Source organism: Homo sapiens, chromosome 19 (genome assembly GCF_000001405.40).
Source record: "Homo sapiens chromosome 19, GRCh38.p14 Primary Assembly".
Lineage (NCBI taxonomy): Eukaryota > Metazoa > Chordata > Mammalia > Primates > Hominidae > Homo > Homo sapiens.
Window position 1 is genome coordinate 22,654,318 of NC_000019.10, and position 14,449 is coordinate 22,668,766.

General features: G+C 36.1%; 1 protein-coding gene across 3 annotated transcripts in view; it reads left to right on the plus strand.

Moving 5' to 3' along the window:
* ZNF492 (zinc finger protein 492) overlaps positions 1–13,354 on the plus strand; it is a 33,348-nt gene extending 19,994 nt beyond the window's left edge. For all 3 annotated transcript variants that reach the window (NM_020855.3, XM_047439130.1, XM_047439131.1), the window contains one exon: positions 9,483–13,354. In NM_020855.3, coding sequence (NP_065906.1) covers positions 9,483–10,948 — 1,466 coding nt within the window. In that variant the 3' untranslated portion in view covers positions 10,949–13,354. The remainder of the gene's footprint in view (positions 1–9,482) is intronic.
* The last annotated feature ends 1,095 nt before the right edge of the window (positions 13,355–14,449 follow it).

The window sequence follows — 14,449 nt, forward strand, 5'->3', positions numbered from 1 at the left end:
ACACGTAGATAATCTGCATAATTTTGAGAAACTCTATGTTAAACTGTTTTTCAAGTTCTGTTTTTACATTATGTCCTAAATGTGTGAGAGCAGTGGTTTCTGTTCCATTGGTTTCTTTATTGCTAATTTTTCTGCACATTGCATTCTGTCTTATTATAGTCTTGAAGTATAGTTTGAAATTATAAAGTATGATGTTCTTCTGCTTTGTCCTTTTTTTTTCAAGATTGCTTTGGCTATTCAAAGTTTATTGTAAGTCTATGTGAGAATTGTATTTTCTTTTTCTCTTTCTTTTTTTTTTTTTTGAGATAGAGTCTCGCTCTGTCACCCAGGCTGGAGTGCAGTGTCATCATCTCGGCTAACTGCAACCTCTGCCTCCTGGGTTCAAGCGATTCTTCTGCCTCAGCCTCCTGAGTAGCTGGGAATACAGGCGCGAGCCACCATGCCTGACTAATTTTTGTATTTTTAGTAGAGATGGGGTGTCACCATATTGGCCAGGCTGGTCTCGAACTCCTAGACCTCGTGATCCGCCCACCTCGGCCTCCCAGAGTGCTAGAATTACAGGCGTGACCCACCGTGCCTGACTGAGAATTGTATTTTCTATTGCTGTAAAAAAAAAATACTGGAATTTTGATAGAGAATTTATTGAATCTAGAGAGCACTGTAGATAACACGGCACTTTAATAATATTCTTTCAGCCGGGCATGGTGGCTCACGCCTGTAATCCCTGCACTTTGGGAGGCCGAGGCAGGCGGATCACCTGAGGTCAGGAGTTTGAGACCAGCCTGGCCAACATGATGAAACCCTGTCTCTACTAAAAATACAAAAAATTAGTCAGGCGTGGTGACAGGCGCCTGTAATTCCAGCTACTTGGGAGGCTGAGGCGGAAGAATCGCTTGAACCTGGTAGGCAGAGGTTGCAGTGAGCTGAGATTGCACCACTACACTCCAATGTGGGCAACAAGAGTGAAACTCCATCTCAAAAAAAAAAAAATTCTTTCAATCAATAGACATGAAATGTTTTTAAATTTATTTTTGTCTTCTCCAATTTTTTTTTATTGATGTATCTTTTATTTGAAAGATATTTAAGCTCCTTGGTTAAATTTGTTCTCAGAAATTTATTATTTTAGTGCTATTGTAAATAAGATTGCTTTCTGTCTCTTTTTTGTCAGATAGTTTGTTTAAAGTGTATGGAACCATAACTTACACTTGTATGTTAATTTTCTATTTTGCTAAATTATTGAGTGTAATTATTACTTTAATTAGGTTTTAAATGTACTGTTTATGGTTTTCTATATACAAGATCAAATGATCTACAAAAAGCAACTTTTTACTTATTTGTCTTCAATTTCAGTGACTTAATTTTTTTTTTTTTTTTTTTACTTATTCCACATACTTCCAGTGCTGTGTTAAAATAGAAGCGTTGAGAATGGGCATAATAAACTTTTGCATTGGTGTCTGTGAGTTTGAAGGAGCAAACACCTCTTCAAGTTTTTCTTGTTGTTTTTTTTTTTTTTTTTTTTTTTTTTGAGACAGCGTCTCACTCTGTCGCTGAGACTGGAGTGCAGTGGCGCGGCCTCGGCTCACTGCAACCTCCACCTCCCAGGTTCAAGTGATTCTCCTGCCTCTGCCTCCCGAGTAGCTGGGACTACAGGTGCGTGCCACCATGCCTGGCTAATTTTTATATTTTTAGTAGAGATGGGGTTTCACCATGTTGGCCAGGCTGGTCTTGAACTCCTGACCTGGTGATCCACCCGCCTTGGCCTCCCAAAGTTCTGGGATTACAGGCATGAGCCACCGCGCCTGGCCCTCTTCAAGTTTTTATAAATTGGTTTCAGAAAGTGAAGATCTTTTGTTGAGCCCCCAGGGTGATGGGATGTCCTATGGGTTTGTAGTGGAGAGGGGTAGGTAGCTTGTTTACAAAGGCTGCTGGGTCTGCATTAGGGTCCACCTTTAGTTGGCTTGTTACAAGGGGCTTAGGTAGTTGTAATTCCCATTTTATTTTTGGACAGAGTGAGTATCCTTCAGGACTTTGCTCTGTAGGGCAGACGCTAGGGCAGATTTCTGCACTTGGGTCTGCATATGGTAGGCTTTATATTAGGATGTAGATGAGTTTGGCTTTCACTGAAAACCAGAGAGGATTTCCCATGGTCACTGTGTGGGTTTCTACATAGGCAGAACTTGCCATGAACTGTGGCTCAGGGTGATAAAACTGAGTCATGGAACTGCTTCAGGGACCACAGTAAGGGCCAAGGTCTGCAGGCCTGCTGCATGGCTATAAAGGGGTGTCTGTCTCTAGGCTTCTGAAAGGGCAAGACCTCTCCCAGACTGTGGCTGGGAGGAGTTTGGGATGATTGCAGTGTAAGTTCAGAATTCTCAGTGGGACCAAGTTTGGTGGGCCATTTTCTGGTCTGTAGCCAAGAACAGGGGTCCTATAGTTTGCCACCTGAATGAAAGCCTGCCTTCTGAAGAGAATATTCCTCAATCTTGGGCATTAGCAGAGTTTCACAGCTCCCTCCGTAGATCTCAAAGCTCTTTAAGGGCACTTATTTTGGAGATGGGTTCTTGCTACATAACCCAGGTTGATCTTGAAGTTCTGTCCTAAAGCATTTCTCATTACAGGTTTGAGTCATGATTCCTGTTTCTCTCATAAAGGCATTTTTGTCAGGCTGATGAATTTTCTTGCTGTCAGAAAATAAGCAAATAAGGCACCATTTATTTTTCCATCTTAGTGATGTCACTCTTCCTGTCCATTTTTACTTTCTACTTTCTATTTCAATTTTGTCAGTAGTTTTAGATTTAGACATTTAGGACAATATACTAAAATTTACATGTTATGTCTGAAGTGAATTAGGTAATTAGTAGACAGACAAAAAGGAAATATAGACAGGCAAAAAAAGATTACAGGATTTTCACTCACTTTTGTCAGCTAGTACCTAAAATATGACATGATTTGTTCCCAAATATTTGTTTCATATATCAGAGGCCCTGACCATATTCTGCAAAATAGATATATTTTTTCTTTATTTAGCAATGTAAGGCTATTTTTTGCTTCTAAATTTGGATTACAGCAGTTTTATTTTGTGTAAGAATAGCATATATTTAAAACTTAGAAATGATCTTAAAATGCTTATTTATCAGTTTGTCATTAGAGTCTTCTGTTTATGATTATACTGCATTTTATCTGAAACTTTTACTGCATTACAGTGCATGCCAATGATTCAAAATAGCCACCTTCAATGAGTACACAGTTACAGTAAAATATTACAGTTATCTACACAAATTCTTTGTTAATGCTACATCAAGTTACATACCAGATTTTATGAGTAAACATTTATTATTATTTTTTAGTTTCATATTAACGCATTTTTTCAGTGTAGGTTTCTTAACATAAGTTTATTGTGTTTTTTGGTTTTACAATTTTAGACAATTTGCAATTCTGTTTTTACATGTAAGTCGGTGTGTGGTTTAAGAGATAGATCAGCCTTATCTCTATTACAATCTGATTATATGTGTGTGTGTTTTTATCTATAAATATGACCCCAATTTTGGTTATGGCTAATCTTGTATATATTTTTTCTTGGCTGATTTTTAATGGTGGCTTTATCTTGTCTAAATGAGTAGTCATGGAAATAGTCTTATTTTCACCTTGTGTTTAATAATAAACATATTTCCTATGTGTGAGGGAAACACTTTTGTGACTTGACGGTAATTTTTGGAAAGATTTATAATTCTGGATCTTCTTCAGTTATTCTTCTAAAAAACAATTGTATAAACATATAACCTAAAATTTACCACCTTAAATCTATTTAAATGTACATTTCATGGCCAGTCATGGTGGTGGTTCACGTCTGTAATCCCCGGATTTTGGGAGGCCAAGGCAGGAAGACTGAGCCCAAAAGCTTGAGAACATCCTGGAAGACATATGGAAACCTCATCTCTGTAAAGCATTTTAAAACTTAGCCAGACATGGTGAAGTGGTCCTGTCTCCTTGGGAGATTGAGGAGGGAGGATTACTTGAACCTGGAAGTTTGAGGCTGCAGTGAGCTGTAATTGTGCCATGCACCCCAGCTTGGGTGACAGAGTGAGACCCTGACTCAAAAACACTGTACATTTCAGGCATGTTAAGTATATTTACATTATTTTATAAAAGATTTCTAGAAATTTTACAATACACATTAAACAACTACCAATTTTTCCCATTTCCTGGCACTTTTCAAATACCGTTCTGTTTTCTGTTTCTAAGAGTATAACTGCTTTATATATCTCATAAAATCTGTTTGTGGCTGGCTCATTTTATTTTGCATAAAGTCATCAAGATTTACCTTTATAGTTGTTAGAATATTTCCTGCTTTTTTTCAAACTGAGTAATATATTGGCATTTTTGTATTTCAAATTATATCTGCTGAACGATTTGGTGACCGAAATTTGCCTTGCTTTTACCTACTGGCTTTTAGTAACAATGCTAAAATAAATGTGGGTATGCAAATGACTCTTCATGTGACCATATATGTGAGAGTTTATATATGTGCTGCATTCTATTTTATTAGTCTACTTTTTCACCTTTATAGTCATACCAAATTGTTTTAATTCTGTAGCTTTGTGTTTTGAAATCAGGAACTGTAATGCCTCCAACATTGTTTTGTTTTGTTTTTAATATTTTTGGGTACTTTATTGTATGTAGAGATTCTGTATACTCGAGGGATTGCTGTTTCTGTTTCTTCAAAAATGCAGTGAGAAATTTGAAAAACATTGCATTAAATCTGTAGATTGCATTGAGCAGGATGGACATCTTTACAGTATTACCTTTTTCAGCCTTTCACAAGAGCATGCTCAAGAGTGTGTTGTTTAATTTCTATATATTTGTTAATTTTTCAGATTTTTTTTCTCGTTGTATACTCATTTCATTTTGGTGATAGAAAGTAATTTATAAAATTTCAGTTTTAAAAAAACTGGTAAGACTTAATTTTCTTCTTTTTGTAATAAGAGGAGGTCTATCAAGGAAAATGTTGTATTAGCTATTGAGAACCATGTGTGTCCTGGTGTTGAGGGGTGTTTTCTATACCTCTGTTAGAAATAATTGTCTTACACTGCCTGGAAGTCCTCTATTCCCTTACTAATATTCTCATTTAATTTTTATTACGGAAAATGCAGTGTCAAAATATCCTACTATAATTATGTTGCTCTCTATGTGTCTCTGTTATTCTGTCAATGTTTGCTTTATATGTTTGGAGCCCTAATGTGAGATACACACACACACACACACACACACACACACAGAGAGAGAGAGAGACGTGTATACAGATTTGTCATAGGTTCCCAGTGAGTAAATCTGAAGTGGTTTTTTTTTGTTGTTTTTTTTTTTTTTTTGAGACAGAGTCTCACTCTGTGTCCCAGGCTGGAGTGCAGTGGTGTGATCTCGGCTCACTGCAACCTCTGCCTCCTAGGTTCAAGCGATTCTCCTGCCTCAGCCTCCCGAGTAGCTAGGATTACAGGTGCCCACCACCATGCCCGGCTAATTTTTGTATTTTTAGTAGAGTCAGGGTTTCACCATGTTGGCCAGGCCAGTCTCGAACTCTTGACCTCAAGTGATCCACCTGCCTCAACCTCCCAAAGTGCTGGGATTACAGGCGTGAGCCACCATGCCCAGCCTAAATCTGTAAGTTTTAATGTCCTTTTTTGTCTCCTTGGAGTTTTAACTTCAAGTACATTTTGTAAAATATGATAGTTTTTGACTTAAGATGTAGCTTGCATAATACTATCTTGATTTCTTCTGCTCTCATTTGATTAATATTTGCATGAAATGTATTCTTCCATCTTGCCCCTTTTAGTGTTTTTTATCATTAGATCTCTACTGACTCTTGTAGAAAAAAAAGTTGGATCTTGGTTTTTAAAATTTTTAATCTGTTGAAAGTATGTCTCGATTTGAAAGTTAATTTTATATATACATTTAAATAATTGATAAAGACGGACTGTTACATTTTTAATTATTTTATTTGATTCTTGCATCTTTGTTTCTCATTTTCTCTCTTTGTGTCTTTTTGATTTTTGTATTGATATGCTTTTACTTATTTCTAATTCACTTTTGTATATTTGTACAGATTTTTTTTTTTGGTGGCACCTTGGGGGTTGCATAAAACTTCTATAAGAAACAACAGTATAGTTTTAATTTGGTATAAAATAAATCTCAGTTGAATAAAAAAATCTTCCTCATTACATCTGCCCTGAAATTTGTCTTTGATGTTGCTAATTATGTTTTTACATTGTATATTCATTAACAGTTGTTTATAATTTCTGTGCTTTTATTTTTCAAAATTTAGAGATCATTTAAAATGTTTTCTGCACCATTATGATAATGCCACAAGATTCTGTTTTTATGTATGTGCATATCTTTCCTGGAAAATAATGTATTTTTATATGATTATGTGTTTTTTTTTTTAATACTTTTACTTTCAGTTTAAGGAACTGCTTTCATCATCTTTTATATGTAGGGCATATGCAGTGCTAATATACTTTTTCAGAATTTGGTTGTTTTGGAAGGTTTTTTCTTTTTATGTGGCAGGACAGATTTGTTGATGGTATTATCCTCAACTTGATAGCTTTTTTTTTTTTTTTCCCCTCAGGACTTTGTGTCACACGGTATCTTTCTGATCTGCAGAATTTTTGTTGATAATTCACTGGTAATATCATAAGACTATGTTTGTAAATGACACATTACTTTTACCTTGTAGCTCCTAAGACTTTCTTCTTGTCTTTGATTTTTGAAAATGTGCTTAATATGTATCTGTTTAAATATCTGTGTGTGTATCCTAATTTGTTTGTTGAACTTCATTTTTACATCATTTTTCTTTTAGGATTTTCCAGTTGTTTATTTTTCTACTTTTTACCACCAAATTGTTTTTTTTAATATTTTGATATTCTTGTATTTATTCTCATTTTTGTGACTTTCTACAGTGGACTGTGTTCCTGTTTCACTCATTGGATATTATTCAACTTATGAGTGTTTAAAATGTGTACATCTTTTTTATGGTTTCTTTCTGAAGTTTATACGGTATTTTTGATGAAATTATATTGCCCTGTTTTGTATACATTGTAATCTTGGAATGAGATTTGGACATCAAAAAAAGCTACCTGTCACAGTCTTTAAAATGTGTTTTTTTCTGACATAGTCTGAAAACAATTATCTTGGCTAGAGATTCTGGGAGTCTCTCAAACATGTTCTTAGGATCTGCCTTGTCTAAAATTTTGTGTTTAGTTTTTAGTCAGAGGAGTTTATTTGTGTTTCTCTTCTTTTTTTTTTGAAACAGAGTTTTGCTCCTGTCACCCAGGCTGCAGTGCAATGGCATGGTCTCAGCCCACTGCAGCCTCCACTTCTCTGGTTCAAGTGATTATCTGGTCTCAGCTTCCCACTTAGCTGGGATTACAGGCATGTGACCCCATGCTCAGCTACTTTTGTATTTTTAGTAGAGACAGGGTTTCACTATGTTGCCCAGGCTTGGTCTCAAACTCCTGACCTCAGCTGATCCTCCCACCTTGGCCGCCAAAGTGCTAGGATTACAGGTTTGAACCACCAAACTCCTTCTTAATAACCAATAATCACTTGCTATAATTGTTTCCTGTCTGTAGTACCACAGTCTTTCTGCTGCTGTAAAACTTACCTTTCTTATTTATTTATTTCATTATACTTTAAGTCCTAGGGTACATGTGCCCAGCGTGCAGTTATATTACATAGGTATACATGTGCCATGGGTTAATGCTATCCTTCCCCCAGCCCCTCATACCCCGACAGGCCCTGTTGTGTGATGTTCCCCGCCCTGTGTCCAGGTATTCTCATTGCTCAATTCCCACCTATGAGTGAGAACATGTGGTGTTTGGTTTTCTGTCCTTGTGATAGTGTGCTCAGAATGATGGTTTCCAGCTTCATCCATGTCCCTGCAAAGGACATGAACTCATCCTTTTTCATGAATGCATAGTATTCTGTAGTGTATACATGCCACATTTTCTTAATCCATTCTATCATTGATGGACATTTGGGTTGGTTCCAAGTCTTTGCTATTGTGAATAGTGCCGCAATAAATATACGTGTGCATGTGTCCTTATAGTAGCATGATTTATAATCCTTTGGGTATATACCCAGTAATGGGATGGCTGGCTCAAATGGTATTTCTAGTTCTAGATCCTTGAGGAATCATAACACTGTCTTCCACAATGGTTGAACTAGTTTACAGTCCCACCAACAGTGTAAAAGCGTTTCTATTTCTCCACATCCTCTCCAGCACCTGTTGTCTCCTGACTTTTTAATGATCACCATTCTAACTGGCATGAGATGGTATCTCATTGTGGTTTTGATTTGCATTTCTCGGATGGCCAGTGATGATGAGCATTTTTCCATGTGTCTGTTGGCTGCATAAATGTCTTCTTTTGAGAAGTGTCTGTTCACATCCTTTGCTCACTTTTTGATGGGGTTGTTAGTTTTTTTCTTGTAAATTTGTTTAAGTTCTTTGTAGATTCTGGATGTTTGCCCTTTGTCAGATGGGTAGATTGCATAGATTTTCTCCCATTCTGTAGGTTGCCTGTTCATTCTGGTGGTAGTTTCTTTTGCCGTGCAGAAGCTCTTTAGTTTAATTAGATCCCATTTGTCAATTTTGGCTTTTGTTGCCATTGCTTTTGGTGTTTTAGTCATGAAGTCCTTGCCCATACCTATGTCCTGAATGGTATTGCCTAGGTTTTCCTCTAGGGTTTTTATGGTTTTAGGTCTAATATTTAAGTCTTTAATCCATCTTGAATTAATTTTTGTATAAGGTGTAAGGAAGGGATCCAGTTTCAGCTTTCTACATATGGCTAGCCAGTTTTCCCAGTACCATTTATTAAATAGGGAATCCTTTCCCCATTTCTTGTGTTTTGTCAGGTTTGTCAAAGATCAGATAGTTGTAGATGTGTGGTGTTATTTCTGAGGTCTCTATTCTGTTCCATTGGTCTATATATCTGTTTTGGTACCTTACCTTTCATCTCAGCAGCCTCAAACTGTCATTTGAAAGAATACCACTATTTCTTTCAGAACTTTTATGCAATGAGACACAGGAACCAGTGTAAAAGCCCCTGCCATTGAGAAATAAAGATGTATAAGCCATTATTTTACTTGTCTTTTAAAAATGAAACCAGGAGTTGGCAATTTATTTCTAAAGTCACTATGTTATATAGGGAAGCAGGAAGATCTGCACTGGGTAAATGTAACAGACTTTTCTTTCTTCTATGTGACTCTTTGCATTGGGCTCACCTGGGGCACTGCACACACTTAACTTACTTTAATTTTTCAGAAATGTAATTTGTTCTGTATGCTTTTATATGTCTGTGAAAATGTTAGAGCGTGTAATATTTTGCTGTAACATCTTGTGATGTAGTTTGTATAATTTTATAGGTTAGATTTGTAAAGTACATTCGTCTGAGTCAGTAAGTGAAGTAATTTATTATTTTTATTTCTTTCAGTTGTATGTTCTTATTTTGCCCGAGACCTTTGGCCAAAGCAGGGCAAAAAAAATTATTTCCAAAAAGTGATACTGAGAAGATATAAAAAATGTGGATGTGAAAATTTACAGTTAAGAAAATACTGTAAAAGCATGGATGAGTGTAAGGTGCACAAAGAATGTTACAATGGACTTAACCAGTGTTTGACGACTACCCAGAACAAAATATTTCAATGTGACAAATATGTGAAAGTCTTTCATAAATTTTCAAATTCAAACAGACATACGATAAGACATACTGGAAAGAAATCTTTCAAATGTAAAGAATGTGAAAAGTCATTTTGCATGCTTTCACACTTAGCTCAACATAAAAGAATTCATAGTGGAGAGAAACCCTACAAATGTAAAGAATGTGGGAAAGCCTATAATGAGACCTCAAACCTTTCTACACATAAAAGAATTCATACTGGAAAGAAACCCTACAAATGCGAAGAGTGTGGAAAAGCCTTTAACCGGCTCTCACACCTTACTACACATAAGATAATTCATACTGGAAAGAAACCCTACAAATGTGAGGAGTGTGGCAAAGCTTTTAACCAATCTGCAAACCTTACTACACATAAGAGAATTCATACTGGAGAGAAACCCTACAAATGTGAAGAATGTGGCAGAGCTTTTAGCCAGTCCTCAACCCTTACTGCACATAAGATAATTCATGCTGGAGAGAAACCTTACAAATGTGAAGAATGTGGCAAAGCTTTTAGCCAGTCCTCAACCCTTACTACACATAAGATAATTCATACTGGAGAGAAATTCTACAAATGTGAAGAATGTGGTAAGGCCTTTAGCCAGTTATCCCACCTTACTACACATAAGAGAATTCATTCTGGAGAGAAACCCTACAAGTGTGAAGAATGTGGCAAAGCTTTTAAACAATCCTCAACCCTTACTACACATAAGAGAATTCATGCTGGAGAGAAATTCTACAAATGTGAAGTATGTAGCAAAGCCTTTAGCCGGTTCTCACACCTTACTACACATAAGAGAATTCATACTGGAGAGAAGCCCTACAAATGTGAAGAATGTGGCAAAGCTTTTAACCTATCGTCACAACTTACTACACATAAGATAATTCATACTGGAGAGAAACCCTACAAATGTGAAGAATGTGGCAAAGCTTTTAACCAGTCCTCAACTCTTTCTAAACATAAGGTAATTCATACTGGAGAGAAGCCCTACAAATATGAAGAATGTGGCAAAGCTTTTAACCAGTCCTCACACCTTACTACACATAAGATGATTCATACTGGAGAGAAACCCTACAAGTGTGAAGAATGTGGCAAAGCCTTTAACAACTCCTCTATTCTTAACAGACATAAGATGATTCATACTGGAGAGAAACTCTACAAACCTGAAAGTTGTAACAATGCTTGTGACAACATTGCAAAGATTTCCAAATATAAAAGAAATTGTGCTGGTGAGAAATAATAGAAATATGAATGTGACAAAGCCTTTAAATGGTTATCACACTGGATTGTAGGTAAGGTAATTCATTCTGGAGAAAACTTCTACAAGTGTGAATGAACAGTGTGGCAAAACTTACACAATGCTCAAACCTTATTGCACAGGAAAGCCTTTATACTTGAGAACAAATGTACAAATATAAAGAAAGTAAAAAAGTGATTAATATCTGTGCACATCTTATTCAACATCAGAGTTTATATTAATAGCATTAAAAGTGCAATTACTGTCAAAAGAGTTCAAAAAATAAGCATTTAAAGTGCTGAAGAGGATTTATTTTGAAGACAAACATTACAAATATAAACGAAGTTGTGGTAACTTTACTTGTAACACAGATCTTGTTGTATTCATTCTGTATTAGAGCAAACCCTGAGGCAATTGCTCAAACTTTGTTCAACATCAGAGAATTTATATCGAAGAAAAACCCTGTAAATGTAATAAATTTAGAAAAAAACATTTATTCAAAAACTACAGGTTAGAAAATTCCAGAGAGTTCATATTAAAATATTTTTGCATATACAGTAAATAGAAAAAAATATTTAATTCAATGGTAAGTTTATGTAAATATCAGAGAATTTATGTTAGAAATATATAAGGCAATGACACTTCAGACTTTACACTGAATCAGAGTTCTGAGTTTAGAAAGTAATCCAAAACTAAACTTGGCAGAAAAATTATTTGTTTATAACTTTAAAAGAGTAGAAGATTTTTTGGAGAGTTACAAGTATACTTTTTTTTAGAAAGATTACAGATTTTTTTTAAAAGTAAATAACTCTCAAATTACTTCATACAAATAATGTTGTAATTAACTCAAATTACTTCGTGTTAATGTTGTAATTAACTCTCAAATTACTTCATGCTAAGGAAATTAGTTTTTCTTTTTCTTCTTCTTTTTTTTTTTTTTTTTAGATGGAGTCTTGCTCTATCGCCCCCCCAGGCTGGAGTACAGTGGCACGATCTCAGCTCACTGCAACCTCCGTCTCCAGGGTTCAAGTGATTCTCCTGCCTCAGCCTCCCAAGTGGCTGGGATTACAGGCGCAAACCACCATGCGTGGCTAAATTTTGTATTTTTAATAGAGCCAGGGTTTTGCCATGTTGGCCAGGCTGGTCTCGAACTCGAGACTTTAGGTGATCCGCCCAGCTTGGCCTCCCGCAATGCTGCAATTACAGGTGTTAGCCACTGCGCCTGCCTGATGTTGTTTCTTTATTCCTATTGTATTCATATGTGAAAGCATGTGACCAAAAGATATGAGGATTATTTTTTATTAGGTGAGCATTTATGACCTCTTCTATGAAAGAGTAAGGACATTAAAATGCATGATGAAAATCTAAGTAAAGAGGTTCTTTGTGATTCACTTACAGTACTGAGTGATGCATGAGGTAGGTGTTCTGAGTAATATTCTGCATTATATTGAGAGACAAATTTTTAGTTTTAGTTAAAATTAAAAATAAATTAGTATATTATTTTACTAATTTTACTTTTATGAAAATGCAGTACATGTTAAAAATTTTAGATTATGTGTGAACTTAATTTCTTAATTCAACATTTTTAACAGTTTAAATATTGTGCATTCAATCAAGTCACATTATTCCACTTACTTTAACCTAGTCCACCTTACTCAAGGGTGTAGGTAAAAGGTGGTAACAAGGCCGGGCACGGTGGCTCACGCCTGTAATCCCAGCACTTTGGGAGGCAAAGGTGGGTAGATCACCTGAGGTCGGGAGTTCAAGACCAGCCTGACCAACATGGAGAAACGCCATCTCTACTAAAAATACAAAATTAGCCAGGCATGGTGGCGCATGCCTGTAATCCCAGCTACTCGGGAGGCTGAGGCAGGAGAATCACTTGAACCCGGGAAGCAGAGGTTGCGGTGAGCCGAGATCATGCCATGGCACTCCGTCCTGGGTGACAAAGTGAGACTCCCTCTCAAAAAATAAATAAGTAAATAAAATAAATGGTGGTAACAATACACTATTTGGTAAAAGAATGCACTAACATCTGTAGTACTAATCTTTTTTCCAGTGGCTTTAAACTGCAAATAAGGAATGTTGTTTCTGTAGGTAAAATTTTTATTTATTTTTTCCCATTTAAATTTACTTTTGTTAGTTTTTTCAGGCATATAATATTTATGTTATATATGGCATATTCTGATAAGAGGCATACAATATGTAATAATCACATTAGGGTAAATGAGGTATCCATCACCTTTAGAATTTATTTTTTGTATTATGAACAGTTCAATTGTACAGTTTTAGTTTTTTTAAAATATACGATTGTTATTGACTACAGGGTTATTTTTATAATAAAAATTATATACAAGTATAAAATTTACACATTTCTGAGTCCTGAATAAATAAAAATAATTTCTTGTATATTTTTCTTTGAATATGTGGCCTCTCTACTTGCAAACAGATACAGGCTTTTAGTTTTGATTTACATAGAGTTAAATGTACACATCTATTAGTCTAAATATAAACCTTAGGTGTAAGAAGATTATGGATTAAGTGTGTTTGAGTATGAGTTTGTAACTATTTTCAGAATAATATTGGAACAAGACATCATTTTAATAAGGTGTCTAATTTTCTTTTCTTTTTTCTTTTTTTTTTTTTTTTGGAGACAGAATCTCACTCTGTTGCCTAGGCTGGAGTGCAGTGGCGTGACCTCCGCTCACTGTAACTCTGCCTCCTGGGTTCAAGCAGTTCTCCTGTTTCAGCCTCCCTAGTAGGTAGGACTACAGGCGCAGGCCACCATGCCCAGATAATTTTTGTATTTTTAGTACAGATGGGGTTTCATCATTTTGGTCAGGCTAGTCTTGAACTCCTGACCTCAGGTGATCCACCTGCCTCAATCTTCCAAAGTACTAGGATTACAGGCGTGAACCACTACACCTGGTCAGGTGTCTACTTTTTTAGAAAACAAAAATCCTCAAAAATGAATGCAAATCTATACTCTGGTTTGTATTGAATTTTACTGTATAATTTTACGGCTTATGGTTCAGAATCTTGCCATTCAAATTCTCTTGTTTTCACTTGTCTGGTACTCATGCTAGGCCCATAAATTTCTTGTTTCTGATATATATTTGTTGTTTTATAGTTTATGAGGTATTCATTTTGTGAGCTGCTCTGTGATTATAAGAATGATTTTAATGAAATTTAGTTATGGGCTGGGTGCAGTGGCTCACACCTATAATCCCAACACTTTGGGAGGCCGAGGTGGGTGGATCACTTGAGGTCAGGAGTTCAAGATCAACCTGGCCAACATGGTGAAACCTCATCTCTACCAAAAATAACAAAAATTAGCCAGGCATGGTGGCATGCTCCTGTAATCCCAGCTACTGGGAGGCTGAGGCAGGAGAATAGCTTTAACCCGGGAGACAGAGGTCACAGTGAGCCAAGATTGTGCCACTGCACTCCAGCGTGGGCGACAGAGCAAGACTCCACCTCAAAATAAAATAAACTTAGTCATGT